This window comes from Homo sapiens, chromosome 6, assembly GCF_000001405.40.
Source record: "Homo sapiens chromosome 6, GRCh38.p14 Primary Assembly".
Taxonomy (NCBI): domain Eukaryota; kingdom Metazoa; phylum Chordata; class Mammalia; order Primates; family Hominidae; genus Homo; species Homo sapiens.
The window spans coordinates 80,335,429-80,357,797 of record NC_000006.12 but is presented as its reverse complement, the minus strand read 5'-3'; the positions used below and the strand labels follow the sequence as shown (position 1 = coordinate 80,357,797).

The 22,369-nt window shown below is 36.1% G+C and overlaps 1 protein-coding gene across 19 annotated transcripts in view; it reads right to left on the bottom strand.

The window, feature by feature from the left end:
* BCKDHB (branched chain keto acid dehydrogenase E1 subunit beta) overlaps positions 1-22,369 on the bottom strand; it is a 360,067-nt gene that overhangs the window by 108,879 nt on the left and 228,819 nt on the right. For 8 of the 19 annotated variants that reach the window (NR_187564.1, NR_134945.2, NR_187561.1 and 5 more), the window contains one exon: positions 11,528-14,134. The exons of 5 other annotated variants lie outside the window; for them this stretch is intronic. Coding sequence is in view for 8 of the 14 variants with exons in the window: in NM_001318975.1 (NP_001305904.1) it covers positions 13,994-14,134 (141 nt within the window). In the remaining 6 variants the exon portion in view is untranslated. Of the gene's footprint in view, positions 1-938; positions 4,235-11,527; positions 14,135-15,157 lie in introns of those variants that run through there. 6 more of the 19 variants (NR_187562.1, NM_000056.5, XM_047419207.1 and 3 more) reach the window with 5 other exon arrangements.

Below are 22,369 nucleotides of genomic sequence, written 5' to 3'. Positions count from 1 at the left end.
AGGATTGCGCAGAAAACTGAAGACTTTCAGAGCATCGTTGCAAATAAAGTACAGTGTATGGACACAGCCATAAATTTCCATCAGCAGAGTACACAGCCATCCAAACTCCAGGCCTGCCCAGGAAAACGTAGCACAATTAAAAATTATCTGCACTTTTCAGCAGCTTCAAGGTCGAAGTTTTGTATGTAGTTAAACAGATATTTACCTGTCTCCTATGATATGGAGAAGCTGGGTGCTGTGTACTGGTTATTCTCCATTTGCCCCTCCAAATTCATTCTCCACCCTTCTTTGCCTTCTCTATGTCAAGAGAGGCTGACTCCTAGGGACTGCATCAGCAGGCTCCCTTGGCCTCCATCTTGCAATTGGGTTTAGCCAGTGGGAAGCACTGGCAGGCAATCAGAAGGCCGGAGGAGAGACTAGGATATACTCCCCTCTCCATTCTGTTTCAACAGCTGTGCTTTTTCCTTTATGGCTGCATCTCTTATCTGGCAGCTCCTCTCCCATGGCTGTAGCTCTCACTAGGTTCCAGGACAATTCCCTCCTCCTTGCTCCTTCAGGCAAGGGAATGGTAATGACTTCCCACAGTTGCTAGTTCCTGGGTGCCTCACCCTTCCTTCCCAGTTCCCTTAATCCGCCCATACCTTTGCAAAGAGTCCCATTATTAAACTGTATTCAATGACAAACCTTTGAATATGACATCTTTTTTTCTGCTATGACCCTAAATAATAAACTTTTTAAAGCTTAATTTAAAAAGTCAAACTTTAAAAGGGCACTAGTATATTATTGTAGGTGAATTATTTGTTTTTAATCTTCCCTTCTAACAAATCGTGTGTGTGGGGGGGGGGCGGGGGCGGGGGCGGGGGAGAGAGAGAGAGAGGGAAAAGGACAGGAAGAGGCAGAGGCAGAAGGAGTCGGGGGTGACAGAGAGACAGAGAAAGTTTGAGATGAAGAAAAAATACCATATTTTATTGATTCCAGGTTCTTGCAGTAATCAGACAGATAAAAGATCCTTTAATACTGGTGCTTGGACAGTGTTTTACAAAACAGAAAGATTATGCAATACTTAATATTTGGTAACAATTTTTAGCACATAGTAAATATTTTATTACTTTGTGTAATAAACATTCTGAAAAATAAATTCTTTCATTATGATATAACTTATGATCCTCACCCTAACATGGCTATGTTCTCTAATTACTCCTTTGTAAGTAAAATCATAAGTAATAATAGTTGTAATCACAAGTAATACTAGTTTTAATCATAATACACACATAATTTTGAATCCTGATTTTTCTACTTAAAAGTATGTAATGACCATGTTACTATCTTGCTACATAATTTTCATAATCATCATTTGAAAATTGTACATTGTACCTGATCATATGGATATACCATAAATCACAAACCACAGCTATACCATATTATCCTAGGCAATGTTCCTATAATCTATTTGAACACTTTTATTGTTCAGAAAATAACATCAAATAAATCTGATGGACATGAGTTCTTCCCTTAGAAGAGTAAGCCAAGCTGGGACTTAAAGTGTGTTTGCTCTAGAATCTAGAGTGGCCTGTAGGATTGACAGGCAAGTTGGCCAATGGTGTATGTGTACTGAGAAACAAAGCAGCCCCTTCAAGAAGCCCATTCTCTGGGAAAAGTGAGCTTGGGACTCAGATAATGCTTGAGTCCTGGAGAGGGACAAAGGTTCTAAGTACAACAATCGGTCAGTTAATTCACTTGTCTGATGAACAGCTGTGAGGCCTGTTTCACCAAATATTGATGAGATGTTGTGATCACCAGTCACACTAATTTGGGATCCCTGTATCTCAACAAGAGGAGAAGGATTTTTCTACCTCCAGAGAGAATAAGAGCACTGTCACCACTCCAACAACCCAAAGAAGTATAGCTTCAATAGTGAGCGTCAGCTGCAGGCGGCACCTGTGGCAGTAGCAGCCCTTAGGTGCCTTCCATAGCTACCGGCAGCAGATATTTCTGCTGGGAGACAGAGCCAGAGCCAGAGAGAACCATGTACTCCATGTGGTTGTGCAAATTCCTTGTGTTTGAAAGCAACCCTCACGCAATTCCCCAAAATAATTAGGGAAACCCTTGTGGGTTGTCTAGCCTTTGGGACAGATTTTTTTTAAAAAAATACTATTTGTTACTGTTAACATAGGGTCTAAATTGCCCTCTGGGTTAGGGAAGACTAGGAAAAAATGAATTGAACTTTATAATTTTTATGCTAGGAGGGAGGGTACATAGACTTTTACTATACTGTTCTCCGAAATATTTCACTTAAAAGATAAAATCACGGTGCAAGTAAACATGCTTTAATAGAAGGAGTGTAAATATGGCAAATTTACACAAAGTATTTTCTTCCTTTTTTTTTTTTTTTTTTTTTGAGACAGAGTCTCAATCTGTTGCCCAGGCTGGAGTGCAGTGGCACGATCTCGGCTCATTGCAACCTCTGCCTCCCGGGTTCAAGAGATTCTCCCACCTCAGCTTCACAAGTAGCTGGGATTACAGGCGTGTACCACCATGCCCAGTTAATTTTTGTGTTTTTAGTACAGATGGGGTTTCACCATGTTGGCCAGGCTAGTCTCGAACTCCCGACCTCAGGTGATCTGCCTACCTAATTGTAGATGACACAAACAAATGGAAAAACATCCCATGAATTGGAATAACTAATATCATTAACATAATCATACTGCTCAAAACAATCTACAGATTCAATGAAATCCCTATCAAGATACCAACATCATTTTTCACGGAATTAGAAAAAACAATTCTAAAACTCATATGGAACAAAAAAGAGTCCAAATAACCAAAGCAGTCCTAAGCAAAAGAACAAAGCTGGAGGCATCACATTGCTTGATTTCAAATTATACTATAAGGCTATAGTAATCAAAAGAGCACAGTACTGGTATAAAACCAGACACATAGATTAATGGAACAGAATAGATAACACAGACATAAGATCACATATTTACAGCTAACTGATCTTTGACAAAGCCAATAAAAACATACACAAAGGACACCCTTTTCCATAAATGGTGCTGAGAAAATAGATTCACTATATGCAAAAGAATGGAACTGAACTCCTATCACTGTATACAAAAATCAACTCAAGATGAATTAAAAACGTAATAGTAAAACCTGAAACTATAAAAACACTAGAAGAAAACCCAGGGAAAACTCTTCTGCACATTGGTCTAGGCAAATTATTTATGACTAAGACCTCAAAAGTGTAAGCAATAACAACAAAAAAATAGGGCCAGGCATGGAGGCTCACACCTGTAATCCTAGCACTTTGGGAGGCCAAGGCAGGTGGACTGCCTGAGCTCAGGAGTTCAAGACCAGCCTGGGCAACACAGTGAAACCCCGTCTCTACTAAAATACAAAAAAATTAGCTGGGCATGATGGCATGTGCCTGTAATCCCACTTACTTGGGAGGCTGAGGCAGGAGAATTGTTTGAACCCGTGAGGCAGAGGTTGTAGTGAGCCGAGATCACCCCATTGCACTCCAGCCTGGGTGACAGAGTGAGACTCTGTATAAAAAAATAAATAAATAAATAAATAAATAAAGACAAATGGGTTATAATTAAACTAAATTAAACTAAAAAACTTCTGCACAGTATAACAGATGATCAATAGGGTGAATAGAAAACCTGCATAGTGAGAGAACATTTTTGCAAACTATTCATCCAACAGGAGGAGACTAATATCCAGAATCTACAAGAAACTCAATTCAACAAATACAAAAAATAATCTCATTAAAAATGGGCAAAAAATATGAATATACATTTCTCAAAAGAAGACATACAAATTTCCTACAGGTGTATGAAAATTCTCAACATCACTAATCATCATAGAAATGCAAATTAAAATGAGACATCATCATACCTTAGTCAGAATGGCTACTATTATTTTACTTTTTATTTTTTTTTTGAGACGGAGTCTCACTTTGTCGCCCAGGCTGGAGCACAGTGGCATGATCTCAGCTCACTGCAACCTCTGCCTCCCGGGTTCAAGTGATTCTCCTGCCTCAGCCTCCCAAGTTGCTGGGACTACAGGCACGTGTCACCACACCCAGCTAATTTTTGTATTTTTAGTAGAGATGGGGTTTCACCATGTTGGCCAGGATGGTCTTGATCTCTTGACCTTGTGATCCACCCACCTCAGCCTCCCAAAGTGCTGGGATTACAGGCGTGAGCCACTGTGCCTGGCCACAGAAGAGCTATTATTAAAAGACAAAAAAAAACACATTTTAGTGAGAATGAAGAGAAAAAAGAATCCTATACACATTGATGGGAATATAAATTAGTACAGTCTCTAAGGAAAACATGGAAATTTCTCAAAGAATTAAAAATACAACTATCATTCAATCCAGTGATCACACTACTGGATATCTATGCAAATGAAAAGAAATCAGTGTATCAAAAAGATACCTGCACTCATGTGTTTATCATAGCACTATATAGAGTCAACCAACGAATGATTGGATAAAGAAAAGATGGTGATTATATACACAATGAAATACTATTTAGTGATTAAAAAGAGTAAAATCAGATTTTTTTCAGGAACATAGATGGAACTGGAGGTCATTATCTTAAGTAAAACAAGCCAGACACAGAAAGTCAAATATCACATGCTCTCACTCATAAGTAGGTGCTAAAAAATGTGTACACATGGACATAGAGAGTGGAATAATAGAGAATGGAGACTCAGAGAGGAGAGGGAGTTGGAAGGCAGTGAATGATGAGAAATCACTTAATGGGTACAATGTATGTTATCTGGGTGATGGAGACCCTAAAGTCTTGACTTGAAGACTATGCAAGCTATGCATGTAACAAAATTATACTTGTACCCCATAAATTTATAAAAATTAAAAACAAAATAAACTTCCATGGAGTATGGTTTCTAAAGGACAGCTGCTGTGGAACTGCTCATTTTTCTGGCCTAAGGGAAGGCTGCCAGCATTCAACTTTCAGGCTGAGAGTCTGCATTCACTTATTTTGTGGTTAGAACACTTGACATTAACATAGGGTCTGTGGCTAATGTCATATATATGAAATATATGTCACATATTTTAAAAAATTGAGCACAATATATAAACTAATCCCAAGGTGGAGGGTTTTCCCAAAGTATACTTTATTAAAACATGTAGATTTTCCTCTTTCAAATATAATATACTGCAAACTATTAGAATGGTTGAATTAGAATGCTTTTGGTTGCAAGCAATAGAAACCTAACTTGATTACAGAAAATGGTGGTTCATTGGAAGGACCTTGGGCTGATTCCTTACAGAATGAGAGAAAGAATGGAACACTTCAGGCTGCATGTGGCAGAAATGGAGCTAGCCTGGGGGTTGATTGACTGACTCTCTAGAGGCAGGGACCTGGCAAGATTGACTCCATATTGCATTGCAGCATTCCTCAATATAGAGGTTTCACCCTTTTTCAGTTAAAGATGACCTCCTCTGTAGAGAAGGTGGCCATAAATCCCTCCAAAATAATAACTTTCAGCTGAGTGTGGTGGCTCACACCTGTAGTCCCAGCATTTTGGACGCAGAGACAGGCAGATGGCTTGAGCCCAGGAGTTTAAGACCAGCCTGGGCAACATGGCCAAACCCTATCTCCAAAAAAAAAACAACAACAACAAAAAGAAGAAAACAAAAAGCCGGGCGCAGTGGCTAACGCCTGTAATCCCAACACCACTTTGGGAGGCCGAGGCGGGCAGATCACCTGAGGTCGGGAGTTCGAGACCAGCCTGATTAACATGGAGAAACCCCGTCTCTACTAAAAATACAAAATTAGTCGGGCGTGGTGGCACATGCCTGTAATCCCAGCTACTTGGGAGGCGGAGGCAGGAGAATCGCTTGAACCCGGAAGGCAGAGGTTGTGGTGAGCTGAGATCGCGCCATTGCACTCCAGCCTGGGCAACAAGAGCGAAACTCCGTCTCAAAAAAAAAAAAAAGAAAGAAAGAAAAAATTAGCTGGGTGTGGTAGCACACGTTTGTAGTCCCAGTTACTCAGGAGGCTGAGGTGGGAGAATTGCTTGAGCCCATGAGGTCGAGGCTGAAGTGAGCCGAGATCATACCACTGCACTCCAGCCTGGGTGACAGAGTGACACCCTGTCTCAAAAAAAAAAAAAAAGAAAAAAAAAAATTCCAGATCTATTGATATGAAAAATCTTTAAGAAGGGCTCTGATTGGCCCAATTTTGGTCACCTATTCCTTCACCAGTCACAGTGGCCAAGGAGATGGTGTCCTACGACTGCCCAGTCTGAAGTCTGCAGACTTTAACCACTGAAAAAAGGGGACAATACAGACAGGGCCATGGGAAGAATTAACTTGGACCCAGGCCAACTCTCCATTTGTAACTACAAGAACAGAAAAGATGAAAGAAATGAAGAAAAGTTGCCCTCATCACCCTTAAACTGAGTTTTGAATGAGTATTCTACTTTGTCTATATATATACACACACACATAGACACCTTAAAGCACAATATTGTCCTAGAGCTACTTAACAAAGAGATGGTTTTGAAATCTATCTGAAGACTATAGGCCTAAAAATTCAGAAACAAAGCTTATCTATTGGAGATCCTTGGAATTTAGCCCTATATGAAGGACTCTTTCTGTTTCTGGAATTCTTTAAGAAATGAAGTACAACCCCATGAGTCTGATGTAATAAATAAGAACTAGTATACAAGGTTAAATGTACATAATATCATTTTAAATGTGCACATTAACCAAACAGGCCTCTAACAAAGTGTTTCTCAGGTACAAAGTATAACTTAGGGATAAGCCTTTGCTTCCTTTCTTCTGTCCATTCAGCAACATATTGAGAGCCTTCTGTAGACCAAGCGTTACTCTAGGTTCTGTGGAATTTGTTGTAAACAAAATGGACTAATGGTCCTTGTCCTGGAACCAATAAAACATTGAGGATGGAAGGCAAAAATAAATAAGTAAACAACAACAACAAAAACCCATGATAAATAAGTAGATAAATGTTCCAAATGATCAAGAAAACATTCTTGAAATAATTATTCTAATTCTTTATAGCCACTGAATCTTATGAGGGTTCATAGTAAATAAAATACTTACAACAGCCAAATAGGGCTCAGCAAGAAACAAAAGGACTTTTAGCAAATCAAGACCCTGATAATTATTTTATATAAATGGTGGAATAAAATATCCTAATAATGAAGACTTTTGTTTATCAACACTGTGGGCCAACTATTAGGTTTTGCAAAATCACTTCTTCTCCCTCAAAGAAAGGAGCTTTGCAGTATTAACCAATGCAAACACAACCATACATGGTCTGTATTTGCAGATACCATGATTACATAAAAACATAGCTTAACCTTCACAGGATACAGACATATACAGTAAAATGGAAAAAAAAAACCCACTATTTTTATTTTAAAAAACTTCAATTTTAGTTTTTTCTCATTTGGAACTTACTACTTTTATTTTTCGTTTTTCTTGCACTTTTTCCTTCTTTGTTCTCGCATTCTTATATCTTCGGTTTTCTTCTTTAAAATATTTAATGTCTGTGAATTTACCTCTGAGTAGAATCTTAGCTGAAGCACATCAGTGATCTCATATTCTAAATATTTTGTCATTGCTTTTACATTTCCTTCTTGGCTCCACAGTTTCTAAGTGGGGTACTTTTTTATTTCCATGTAGTTCGAATATTTACTATTGATCTAGGATGTGGTCAGAAAACATGGTGCTTTTACAATATTCTTTTCCTTGGGAAATTTACTGTTATTTTTCTTTATTCATGATCAGTAGTTTTAACTACTTATGTATACTTTAAAAGGTGATATAGTTTCTGTTTGTGGAAATAAAAAAGTTTAAAACATATTTCTATTGATTCTATTCTACTATGTATATAACCAAAATATCCTATATTCTTTTACTCTAGTCTACTTCATCTATCAAATTGCAAGTAAAGTGATAAAGTCATCTTCTACAACTGTTCTCTCCATATCTTTTGTAACTGTAAAGTTTTCACTTGTATTTTAATACTACACATTTGTAACATAAAGGATTTAACTGTCATACTTTCCTTCACTATGATGTATTCCTTTTGTCAATTTCGAATGCATATTTTCTTCTATTTTGTCTGATATGAATTATGCCATATTTGTTTTCATTTTCATTTTTGCCTAACATATTTTTCCATTTTCAAATTTTCACCTTTCTAGGTCAATTTATTTCAAGACTTCCTGGTGAACAGCTTTTAATTGGATTTTGTTTTTTAACCCAATCTAAGTTCTTTCTTATTAATTAGGGAATTCACCTGATTACATTTATGTCTTATGTTTGACTTTGCTTTATCCTATTTTTCTTTCCTTGCTGTCCCCCCACTACCCACCCCTCATTTGTGTTGCAGGGGCTATTTCTTAGTTAACTTTGTACCTAAGAATCTAGCCCGGTGCCCGGCCCGTAACAGGCACTCACTAAATGTTTGTGTAATTAGTATAGACCATTTGTGCAATGATGTGGAAGACACATATGCTGCTTTTAGTTCTATTAGTGGTTAAGTTTTTGAAGCATTTAAAAGCCATTATTAAACTTTCAAGGTTAACAGCAGAATAATGCAGTTACACTCTTCTTTCCTAAAGATGAAGAGTTTAGAAGTTTTGAACTCCTTTTGGCAAATCTACTACTCCAGTCTTTGTCAACTTAAGTCATATTTATGATCATCACTATTTTCTTATTTTTGCAATATGGAGCCATCACTTCACATAAAAGTGTATTTAAGACAATTATTTAGATATACACCTTTTTACTTGTTTCTATTTTCAGTTCCAGTCCTTCCAGTTATGATGTCCTCATTCTTGTTACTGTTTTATTTCCAACTTTTCTGGTAAATATCTCTAATTAGTATATTCAGAGAGGTGCCAGGGTTTCTAAATCTTTAACCATATATGAATATTTTCTATTGCTTTCCAAACCTGATGGCCCAAGTTTAAAGTATATCAGGATCTCTAAATCTCATGTTGCCCTGGAGGTTCCAATGTGACTTTTTTGGGGTCATGTTCCTCATCCATCAGGCCAAAGATTTCTGCTAAAAGTAACATAGTCTGTGTGCCTAGCTGGTTAGCAGCTATCAGTTGTAGATTCAGGTGTACTTGGAGCAGGTGAAAATTTGAGACACAGTCTTTTAGACTGCAGTGTCATCGACAAGGCTGAGTCTAATACTTTTTGTTTCTGCATGGGTATCCTCACTTTCTATTCTGAGGTACCTGGCTGGGTCTGGATCAGGGCCATCTCTGTGGCTAACACTGCACAGTGTTGGGATTGGCAGCCTCTCCAGAACCACATGTGGTGGGGAGAGGGAGTTCTCTAAACAAACAGCAGTGCTGTTTCTAGAAGTTGGAGGCCGGGATGCTAGGCAGCCAGAAACCACATGTATCCACTCTAGGCAAGCTGATGAGAAAGGGATTACATGAAACCAAATGTGGACCTTCTAAGTGGGTCTTCTAAACATTTTGACCAAGAATTTTTAGATGATGAGATTTAAACCTAAGGAATTGAGATAATTTTCTGAATCTTGTTCCTCATTTTTTTTTAAATATACACAGAACTTTTAGTTAGCTATATAACACCTTGTTCAGGCAAGAGGGAAGAATGAGGGAAAACATTCTAGAAGTTCTGAATCTTATTCATTTTTTTTTAAAATGTACACAGGTCTTTTAGTTAGCTATTCCATTAGTTGCATAGAATGCAGTTATTATATTTTTTCCTGAAAGAATCAGACACATTAAACCACAGAAATTAAATTAGTTTATAGATCCATGTTGTCACAAGAAGCAGACATTATTATGTGAGGCTGGGAGCAGTGGAGGATTTTGGACCTGGCATTCATTTAAAATCTCTCAAGTGCCTTCTTGCCACTATTTTCTTATTTTCATAATATGGACTCTTTCTTTCATGCAAAAATGTATTTTGGCAATAAATTAAATGTGTATGTATGTCTTATGCCATAGATTGAGTTTAGTGTTAACTGTAAAGGTTTATTGGAAGAAAAGGGAGTGTTTACTTGTGGGGACTGCAGGGCTAACTAGAGGTGAAAAGAGGCTTTCAAATACAGGCATTTAGTACATAGATCATCCTCAGAGTTATTCTCACACTTGCTATTTCAAAAATAGAGTTAAAGACAGTAAAATTAAAATAGCTAAGAGAAAATCCTTAAAATACCAAATGAATAGAAAATATAGCATTAGAAAGATACAACAGCCATAACAAATTAATTCCACTAAAATCAGTATGTTTAACTACAACCCACTGTAGGCCAAGGTGGCAGACCACCGCACATGTCCTGTTCTGCTGGACTGACCATGTCAGTGCAGAGTTCCCTGTAGGATGCTTTGAGCCATTAGTGGAGAACAAAGACCAAAGCCAAAGTCCATACTGAGTTTTGGCATCTTAAACTCAGAATGTTCTGTATGGTAAGCCAACTGAACTCCCTAAATCTTTTCCAAACTTGTTGCTGACAAACTACATCTTTTCCCTTCCTATGCTGTACAAGTTTTTCTATTTTTAATCCAAGGACAGGGTTTTATTTTTACAAATGATTGGGTTCATTATTTCAGATCATAGCTATTCAGACTCTGTGATCAAGTGCCTTTACTTTGCCTCCAAGTTTCTGGTAATCTACAGAAGTGACCTTCTGTATCCTCCTTCAAATTGCTGGTAAAAATAGATAGGACACAACTTGTGAAATTACAGTTTTAAAGGGACACATACAATTGTAGTTATAGAAAAGTGTTCTTTTTTTTTTTCTTTTTGCTTTTTTCCAGTGTTTCTAGAGAAAGGAAAACATGACAACCCTCATTCTTTGCTTTATGGGGGTAGAGACCTTTTTCCTAGAACCCATGAGAGGAAATCTTCTGGAACTATGGGAGGGGAGGTGTGTCAGGGATGAGGGGTTCTGCTGGAGGATTCGTTATTTAGAAAGGCTAAGGCTTGTCTAAAATGTGGTGAAGGGCAGAAGAGGCAGAGTAAGAAACAAGAGGACTGGACAATGTCCCCAATAAGGAGGTTTCCTCCTGTCAGAGTCATCTGTTGTTGCTACTGTTGTTTTTTCTTTTTATCCAAGTAATAATATAAAGAACATGGGCAAAAATTGCTTTGCAACATCACGACAAACACTACAGCTACAGCTAAAACTTGGCAGTTTTGTAATGGACAGGCTTAGGCTGTCCATCTCACGGAAGAGAGGCAGTAGGAAAAATTCTGCCTCACCACCCACCACACACTGGGGAGGTGAGTACATTCATTACGACACCTTGTTCAGGCAAGAGGGAAGAATGAGGGGAAACATTCTAGAAGTTCTGTCAACATATAACCATCCTGGTCATAAAGAACTGAACCAAATACAATAAAGTTGAGAAGTCACCATTTCTATAGTGAATACTGTACTTTAATTCAGATTTAATTAACCAATTCACAAGCTATTACTCTGAAACAAAAACTTTTTACTAAAGGAAAAAAAAAGAACACATACAACCCAAAGACAATTTGATTTTACTTTATTGAATACTATCACACACATAATATTTACAGATGTAATTAAACAGAATTTATAAGATTACCATGTGGAATATTTTTCAAAGTTAATCTGAAACTCTTAATGAAAATCATCAATACATGTGTGTTACAATACAATAATAGAATGTAGAACTTTTCAGCCAATATCGTGATGGTTCACTTAATAAAAACTCTCTTTTCAAAAAGAGGTAAGTCGGAGGAAATATAAAAAAAAATTCAGAAAAAATATTTCCATATCTAGTCATAATCTTCCAGCTTTTCTGTAAAATAAATTATAGACTTTCTCAATTGCATACATGACTATTTTCTTAAATACCATATTTAACTTTTAGCATATTGGAGTTGTTTTTCTTTTATCGTATTTTCAGCATAGGTTTAAATGTTTTTCTTATGTTTCAAAAGGAATACATAATCTAAATTTAAAACCACATCTGAATATTACTTTAAAAATAGCAACGAGGCACGTGGCCACCATCACTACCTTGGCTCTTTATTACGGCTGGTCCACGGAAGGGAACCACATGGACAACAAAAGTGAAGGAGTCCTCTAACCAGCTCTAAGTGTGATTTATTGTAGATGCCAGTTGCTTTCACAGACATTAAGAAGACATCAGAAATATAGCATCTACACCGGTATGTCTGAGAGAATACATGCATCTGTGGGCTAATGGTCCTAACTTCCATCTATAACAATATTCTTAGACTAGAACAGACAGAAAATGTAGGGATTATGGTAGCACAGTGACATATGAGGGAGAGTTAACTTCTCTATCCGCACAAATGTAAAGGCGTTTCACTCTGATTTTCAGTGAGCTAGATTTACTACCCATACACAAAAGTCAAGAATTCTAGCATTTCTGATCTTTAAAAAGTAGAGAATGTGCTATTATACAGAGTTGATTTTGCTTTTGAAAAAGCATAGTTCTTCAAAAGATATTACTATCATTTTTGGAAAAACTAGATATTAAAAGGTAAAGGATCTAATCATATCTACTCATTTTGAAACATTTCAAAATCAGTGTGTCAGTGCTAGTAACTTCTATATTAAAACTCTGAAAAGCTAACTTAATAATTTGTAATGTATTCATTTTGTTAGAATAACACCACTGAAGGGGCTGATAAGCATTACTTAGAAAATCATGATGAATAAATACCATTTATTATCCATTATGTAAAAAATATTCACTTGTTAAAAAAGCTTCTGGAAATGGTAGTGGTGCTGAGTTTTAGGGTTTGTTTGTTTGTTTTCAGGTAAAATTTTTCCTTACATACAATAAACAGATCTTTTGCTCAAGAAATCCATTTTTCAGATAATATACAGGCAAGTTTCAGAATGTCATGAATTATCATGTAAATAACTGGAATGTAAATTAACGGTGCTTGAGGGGCCATTTTTAAATACAGAAAGTACGCCTATTCATGAACAGTTTAAGTAGCTGAAAAAATATATACAAAAATAAAGGTTGAAGTTGAAACAATGGTATAAAGTACACTTGCAATCTAAACCATGGTAGAGAGCATCTTCATCTAGTGATTGACTATTCAATGTTAACATATGCATGCATCTATTTTTTAGAAATCACATATACAGGCCAGGCGCGGTGGCTCATGCCTGTAATTCCAGCACTTTGGGAGGCCAAGGCGGGTGGAACACAAGGTCAAGAGATCGAGACCATCCTGGCCAACATGGTGAAACCCCGTCTCTACTAAAAATATAAAAAATTAGCTGGGCATGTTGGTGCACACCTGTAGTCCCAGCTACTCAGGAGACTGAGGCAGGACAATCGCTTGAACCTGGGAGGCAGAGGTTGCCATGAGCCAAGATCGCACCACTGCACTCCAGCCTGGTGACAGAGTGAGACTCGGTCTCAAAAAAAAAAAAAAAATCACATATACATATGCTAGATATGTTTCTATTAAATGTAAATATAGCCAGGTGCAGTGGCTCATGCCTGTAATCCCAGCACTTTGGGAGGCTAAGGCAGGTGGATCACTTGAGGTCAGGAATTTGAAATCAGCTGAGCCAACATAGTGACACCCCACCTCCAATAAAAACACAAAAATTAGCTGGGCATGGTGGTGGGCGCCTGTAATCCCAACTACTCAGCAGGCTGAGGCAGGAGAATCGCTTGAACTCAGGGGTAGGGGGGAGGTTGCAGTGAGCTGAGATTGCACCACTGCAGTCTAGCCTGGGCGACAGAGTGAGACTCCATCTCAGAACAACAACAACAACAAAAATGTAAATATACTACTATAAATTTGAATTTTTTTTCTAAAGCACATTATTTTCTTCTGAAAGTTGCCTTTTACCAACTTTACCATCAAAGTTTGTTACCATCAAAACACTGATGATTGCTGTGTCTTGGTTAACAGTACGTTAATGTCAGGGGCACATAGTAGCTTTCTCAAGATGCATACCTACCTATATGGTCAATAGTTGATCATTTTTCGAAGGGCATCATAACACTTCCATTTGTCTGGGATGTAGAATGGTTCAAAAATGTGAGGAAATGGTGTGTCATAACCACATACTCTTGATATAGGAGCCTCTAGGTTCAAGAAACATTCCTCCTGCAGACAGAGTCAGGATGCTTAACTTCAAGAATTTTTTTTACTCACAGAAATGAAATAGTGCAACTTAAAATATTTCACTTACTAAAAATACAATTGCATCTAAGGACATTAAAAATATTTAAGTATACTGTAATATGAAAAAAGCAGGTAACAGCATGTTCGCATGATCCCAGTTTTATTATGTGTTTTCATGTATGCATATGCATTTTATACCTGTATATATATCTATTGTCTAAGCCAAACTGGGATAATATCAAATACGCTGTTCTACGAATATAAATGGAAAGAATTATAAAAATGCAACAAATGTTCACAGTAGTTAACTCTGCAGCATGAAACTGGCAATAATATATACCTTCTCATTTTCTGTTTTTCTCACATTTTATACAATGCACATGTATTACTTTCATAATAAATGTTTGTAATTCCTCCATGCCCCAGCCAGACTGAACTTCTATCAGTTACTTAACTGTGTTCTCATCTCTCTCATAGTCTAGCTTTTGCAGATAATGCTGGGTCTCTGGCCACTCACACCCCAAGTCCACAGCTCTTTGCCTGACTGATGTGTGTACAAATCTCAGGTTATTACCTGAGGAATCACTCCCGCTGGGAAGCCTTCCTTGACAGCACCTCCCCAGCCCTACAGGGCAGATGAGGAAGGGGCTTGTGCTCTGAGCTCCCAAAGCACCGAACTCGGCATAATCCATTGTAGTTGCCCAATTATCTGTCTTCCATGAGAGACTATGAGTCCCATGAGGCTAGAGATCTGATTTAAACATGAAAACCTCAACCACAGTAGAACACTGTAGAAAATTATTTTCAGGAGAAAAAAAATGTTACTCAAGTAAAATATTCAAATTTGAATTTATTTTGAAATAGGGTCTCACTCTCTCGCCCAGGCTGAAGTGCAGTGGTGCAAACACGGCTCACTGCAACCTCGATCTTCCAGACTCAAGCAATCCCACCTCAGACTACCAAGTAGCTGTGACCACTTGTGCACATCACCGACGCCTTCCTTTGTTCCTTTTCTTTTCGTTTTTTTCTTCCCTTTCCTTCCCTTCCTTCCCCTTTCTTCCCTTTCTTTTTTTTTTTTTTTTTTTTTTTCAGAAATGAGGTCTTCTTATGTTGCCCAGGCTGGTCTCAAACTCCTGGGCTCAAGTGATCCCCTAGCCTCAGCCTCCCAAACTGCTAGGATTACAGGTGTGAGTCCCCAAGCCCAGACTGAAAATAAAACGTTTAAAGGCTTAAAAAATTTAAAAGGGATATGTGATTAAACTATTCTAAGGAAAATAATATTACTTTTAACATTCACAGCTATTACTTAAAATAAAACCTTCATATTTATTCATGTGTTTACACATTGCCTTGCTTTATAAAGGATTTAAGGAGGTCCAGTTTTTTTTACATATTATACTATGTTCACATTTTAATTTGAGCAAAATTTTTACATGAAGGAATCATGATACCTCATGCTTTATCCCTACCCCCTGTGTGATTTCTTCCAGTGACAAGTGTATTGGGGCAGAAAGAAAATGCAAACAGCACAAATTAGCTCCAAAGAGAACCTACTGGACATTTACAGACCTCCCTTTGGCCCCAATAACTATCATGATTTACAATATCAAACACCAAATAAGTGTTGGTATTCCCTAGCAACTGGAAATCTCCACGAACAACTTTAGGACTTTTAATACACACGGTTTAAAGAGCCACCTAAGAGATTCCACTACTAATAAGCTGAAAAGAGATGACAGACTGGGTGGATTATTTCTTGTTTGCAACAAGTAATTTTAAAGGGCTTTAAATTGTCAATTTGGGATTAAGTCGGTTTTATTACTTTAGCTGACACTGGGCTGTTTTTCCATCTTCCCTGAATACTGAACTCTTCATAAACAAGCTATCCATGGAGAATTAAGGGCAAAATATTTTACTAAACGTCTTTGATTTTATACCTGTTATAAAATGACTGTTCTCTTGAACCAGTAACTTGGAAAGCTGGCCTACCACAAGAAGTTCTGTTGGTATTTGTTAAAATCACTCCTTTCAGCATAATGACTAACATCATCAAACTGGATTTTTATTTTTTCAAATAGCAATGCTCCTAACTCCTCAAGAATGCAAGCATCACTCTTTCCAGGAATACATCTATATGTCTGCACGAGCATAGAAAAACATCTGCTGTGAAGACACACTTGAACTGTAAACAGTGGTTACCCTTTGAGGCTGGGAATGACAAGGAGGTGAGAGAAGACTCCACGTTGTGCTTTATAATATATTGTTTTGGTTTTTCGAAAACAGTATTAATTTTGTAATAAATGATGCTGAAATAAAGGAAAACAGTAAAGTGAATAATGATTTTCTTATATGAATAAAAGTTCCTGTGTTATGTTACATAAATTTGTGATTTTACACATAGGGCTTCCTTAATTTGGAAACGATTACTGTAAATTATGTAGCATTAAGTTGTTATAATACGCTATTATAAGTATATAAAATATAAAAATCATGGAAGATAATTCAAGGATATATAAGAGAAGACTACGAATAGGATATCAGTCTTTTTAAGAATATATGCTAACTGACTGAAACAGCTTGAAATTCTCTTCACCAACAAAAGTATATTAAAGAGCCTTAAGTTATTTCTTCCATGAACTTCACTTTACACTTATTTTTAAGCAGTTGGAAATAAGACCCTTAGGTCAATTAAGCAGCTGTACTTACTTCTCACTGAATTGGTTCACATATAAATAATTTATGTGTGAGTATGTTTCTCTGCACTACCACCAAAACAGAACACCTTGTTCAGCCTCAGTGTTTTCATGCAGAAGCTGTATACATGTACGTACGTACGTATGTACACACACACACAAACACACACACACACACAGAAAAAAAATACCGAATCCCACTGGCAAGTTTGTAGATTAATGAAGACAAAGTATCTCTCCATTATAAATACATGACGCCATAACCATAGCAACCATGTGCCCTGAATTTTCATGACAATTCAGATTAATCATATTCTTCTGTTCCATAACTTAAAAACCATATTTGATGACTTTTCATTCAGAAAAAGTAAGCCACATAAATTGGGAATTAAGTAATGGCATAGCCTACAGGGCTGTTGAGAGACTTACATGTATTATGCAGAATATGGGCTAGAAACGGGGAGTGTTCGTTTATGGTCTTTCTCCCCACAGAGCTGTGTATGTAAGCTGGCTCAGTTCACGTGGAACAATAACATATGTGGCTGTGAGGCTCCAAAGCAGATTATAGTGTAACATGTAACCAGAGACGACAGGCACCTAGAGAAACTTTTCTCTAGCTACTTGGGGTCTAAAGTTGCACCCAGGATCCAGTAAGAAGGACTGAAAATGAACCCCAAAACAACAATTTAGTACCGCCTACATATATTCTGTTGGCAATGTGAAAGCACATATGACAGGTGCTTAAAGAAAAGTAGCTATTTCTTCCAAAAGACGCTGTGAAATTTTAGAATATAGTATTTGAATTTACTTCTGAATATGCCTTTTTGCAACAGGAGAATTTTCATTCTAAATTATGTTAATAATAAACCAGGCATGGGCTAAATGAGTTATATTTTATCTAATTTAACCATCTTAACAAATCCATGAAGTCAGTATTATACTCCATTTCACAGGTGAGGAAACCAAGATAAAGGAGGTTGCCCAAGATCAAATCGCTACATACACAGCCAAGTAAGATTCGAACCTGACTACAAAGCCCATTTTCTTAGTCACTCTTCTGCAAATTTTAAGACCCTACTATTGAGAATAGCAATGATAAGGGAAAAAATTGAATTAGGAATAAAGAAGAATGGTAATGTGGAAGGCAGGCTTGGATTATCAAGGTTTGACAATATAGCCTTGAGGGCCATATGAGTTAAGTTCAGTCTTAGAAGCCTCTTTCACATATAAAGAAAGGTGTAGGCTAAGATATGTGAAGGAGCTGAAAACACAAACTTGATCATGAAGGTAATACACAGAGCAATGAACAGATGGTCCTGGGTAGTGGGAACCTCCTAAGCCACACTAAATGATTCCAATAAGCATAACTCCAATTGTTTATATATTAGCCATCTGGATTGCTATGCACATTATAGCCAGAAAAGAAAGCAAACAATGTGAAATAACAATTCCAAATCATTAAAGTCACAGACACAGGCAAAATATCTTCATTTGACTATTTTCTGTAACAAAACAAAACAAATTTACCTTTTTGTCTTGTTTCATTTTTGGAAAATGAAGTATCTTGTTAAAATTAGGAAGGACAGACAACCTTTAAATTTTCTAGCAGGTAAGAGAGGACAAGCACAAATTAAAAGAATAAGATCCATTACGGTTTTAAGTAAAATATATTTATGGGGCTTTTAAAAATTAAGAGTACGTCAATTTATTCCCATGTTTTGATGAATGTAATATGTTACATATTATGTGTCCATAAAAACACATATATTAAGGTTTTCACAGGTTTCCTTGGGATCTCTCAATATCTAACCCTATTTCTCCATTCAAGTTTTAAGTATGTCAATCCCTAATTCTCCTTGTCACAGTGTCACTGGAGTTACATCACTGAAACCTCTGTCTCAGGCATTACACATCGTGGCTTCGCTCATCCTCAACAATTTTTTTTTTTATGGCAAGGTTTCATAATATAATTGATACAGCACGGAATTTGGAATTCTATCTGAAGGGATCTTTGTTCCATTGTGACTTAACCTCCCCGAGGTTTATACTGTTTATTCAACATCAAAATAGAAGTATTACAATTCCCCATTATTGCAGTTTCATATTGTTTTATGACTCTATTGTTATCTTGCCTCTATGTCTACTTAGATTCTGCAGTAGCATATAAAAAGTACCTGGTTTCATGCCTGACATGTCATAGTGCTCAATAATTGCTAGATTTTACAAGTTAAAGGAATCCCATATTTATAATAAGCACAAGGTATTTTAAATAATAGAACAAATTATCATTAAAGACAAAATTCAGGTACACAGAACGGTCAAACCTGAAAAGTAGCATCCGTATAGCACAATGCCTAAACAGCTAACATTTATTAAACACTTACTAAGCCTAAAATGTGTAAGAAAATACCAAAAATACGTAAGGCCTGTATGAGGAAGAGGGGTGGAGAGCACTGCCAGAAAGCCTTAAATGCACTCAGGCCTCTAGGAAAGGCAGTGTCCGGTGCTGCCCCCTGGTGGGGTGCAGGACGCCTAAACGCTAATTGCTGGTTCCGGGGTCGGGGGCTGGAAATCCCTCCGCGCACACAAGGTGCCTATTTCCCACTATAGAAAAGTGGCCTGTCAGTCAACTTCCGAAAAGTTAGAGTAAAAAAGCCCAATAGACAACTGGATGTAATGAACGTATACACACTTTAAAAAACAGAGTCAAGAATAAAGACCATCCAATATCATTTGGTGTGCTTTTAAAGCAATCATTTGCTTTTTGTTTTTTAATGCAAGACAATTCCAGGCTCAGATTTATTTCTAAGAACAATTTTGGAATAATTTTTACTCAGTTCTTCTGACGGAAAGTTGGCTACAGCCCATTGTGCAAGACTATATACCATCTTGAGTTGGAAAACTGTGAAGAAAAGTTCAAAGTGAGATCGGAAAATTATAGGTCTTTTATATATGTTCCTACTTCTTATATAGCTGGTATAGACTGATAAATTTCCTTTCTTTTCCTGCAAAACTATTAACTAATTTTTCTAAACATTTAATGGAAAGCCAGAAAAGCAGGACATTGTACTAAGAAACATATCATAAGTCAAAACAGGCATACGTTTCCTGTAGGATTATCTGATAAATCAGGATTTTATGTTGCTCCTTGGACCAATGAGAAACATCACTCCACAACTTAATTTCCAAGTAGCAACTCAGAAAATAAACATTTAAATTACTTTGCAAACAGCAAGGTCCAGGTTATTTCATGTAATCATTATACTACCACAACACACTTAACTATGAGAATATATTTTATTTGGACAGGACTAAATTATAAATATAATGGATAAATATATATGTAATATAAATTATAAATATAATGAGTATTGAACAGAACATATAGCGATCATGGAGCTATCATTTCTTCTCTAGGAAAAAAACATTAAGAAATAGTTTTAAATGCTGTGTGAATGTGCTTACTTTTAAACCTAAATTGGAACACCATTTAGTCCTTAATTATTAAATTAATAAAACAGCAGATATTCTGCTTCTAAATGCAATTACCTTCTAGAGGTCATAATTAGTAGTATAAGAGTTAAACTCTAAGAATATGAGAAAAACAAAACCAGTATTCTAAAATGATGTATAGTTGATACTTTTGAAGTCCGTGAACTCACAGATTTATATTTGTCCTAGTTATGTAAGGCTAGACATCACTCAGCTTCCAAATATTATCACAGAATATTTACTTTAAATTTGTTTTAAATCTGCCATGAACATTTGCCCATAGTCAAAACATGAGTTTTAGCAAATGAGAAAAAAATGATTCTGGTCTCTTGAATCACACTTTCTCAGCAAATGAGTCACAGAAACCTGTGAAGGCAGTATGCCAACAACTCCAAATTAATTTCATTACTGAATTAAATAAACAGAACTTTACGAATGTAAAATATTATTTTTCATTTAAGCTAATGCTTTAAACAATACATATCATGTTTGAAAAATAAAGTTTAAAAATAGTATGTACCCAATTTTTCAAGAGCATGGATCTATCAAATTAATTATTTGGAAAGCAGAGTCCCTAACCTACCCCCAAACTAATAGGATGCTCCCCCAAATGTTAGAAGTATGCTTATTTTATTTTGTTAACACCATGCACATGAGATGCACAGAACAAACACTCATTGATATAAGGTCTCTCACTTTTAAAACACAGTTGAACCAATGAGTAAGACAGTAAATAATATAATTTCATCCAGATTTGTATAACACTTAAAATATTATTATCAAGCCTATTTCAACAGTGCTTCTATGTAAAATCATAATCTTGACTAAATTAAAATCTGAGATCTCTATTACTTAACTTCACTGAACTATCTTCAATGCCTGCTGACTTAAAAAAAAATCCATCTCTTCCTCCTTAATGCAAATTACTGGCAATCTGGTAAATTTGGTTTTTTTTTGTTTTTTTGGTTTTTTTTGCTAAGATTTCTTTCCGCTAGTTAAAGAATGGAACTGAATCCTAAATTAGGATTTTTATTTAAATTCAGATTCCATTTTTAAAGTGGATGCTTATTTTTTGAAGTTAGAACGAAATGTTATTTCTGATCTAAATGGGTTTCCCTGGATACAATCTAGCTGCCTAAAACAAAGTTGGAGAATGGTATTAACAAATTCTTAGAAATAATTAGTAGTTCAAATTCAACAGCTGTGTCAGAATAAAATCATACATTAATATAAAATTGTCAGAACCTCAATATATTACCTATAGAAACTGAAATAAATTTTAAAATCAAAATTTAACATTAAATCAATAATTTATGTATTAATTTAGAGATTATAACAATTTTAAGAATATGAATTACTATTTTCTCAAAACTATAGCTTTATAAATTTTGCTATTTTAAAATCAGAAATAAGTAACAACAGGGAAGTGACAACTCATTTCTGTAATTTATAATCTTACATAAAGTCACTTTTTAAAAAAGTACACTGTGCTTATTGTTGTCCAGAGACCATACTTAAATATTTTAAAATATTAACTCATTTCAATTTTTATAAAATCTAAATTAGCAATCATAAAGGTAAGAACTAGCACCTCATATAAACCACTTTGTTTTTCCAGGTAAAATCTGTAAAAGCTTGTTTCTGCTTTCAAATTCTCCCCTGCATAGTCTTGAACTATCAAAGTTTCCTCACCATTTTCACCTGCAGAGCACTGTGAGAAACAACGGCAAAAAAAAATTTTCTTCACTAAATCTCTCTGCAAAACATTCTGTTTATTTGCTGTAGTCAGCCTCTAAAGATGTTTGAGGCTTTAAAAGTTCAAAGTCTAAAATTTAAATTCTTTATGAGATACACTATGTGCAAGTTTTGACATTTAAAATGTACTGGGCTACCATGCTTTTGTTAAAACACTTTACATTCAATAAAGAGGAAAAAAGGCAATGCTCTCAAATTTCCACAGACGCTGAAGCTTCTCAAATTTTATAGTTCAAATTCTTCCTATAGAAGAAAGCACTGACGGCAACGTTTGAAA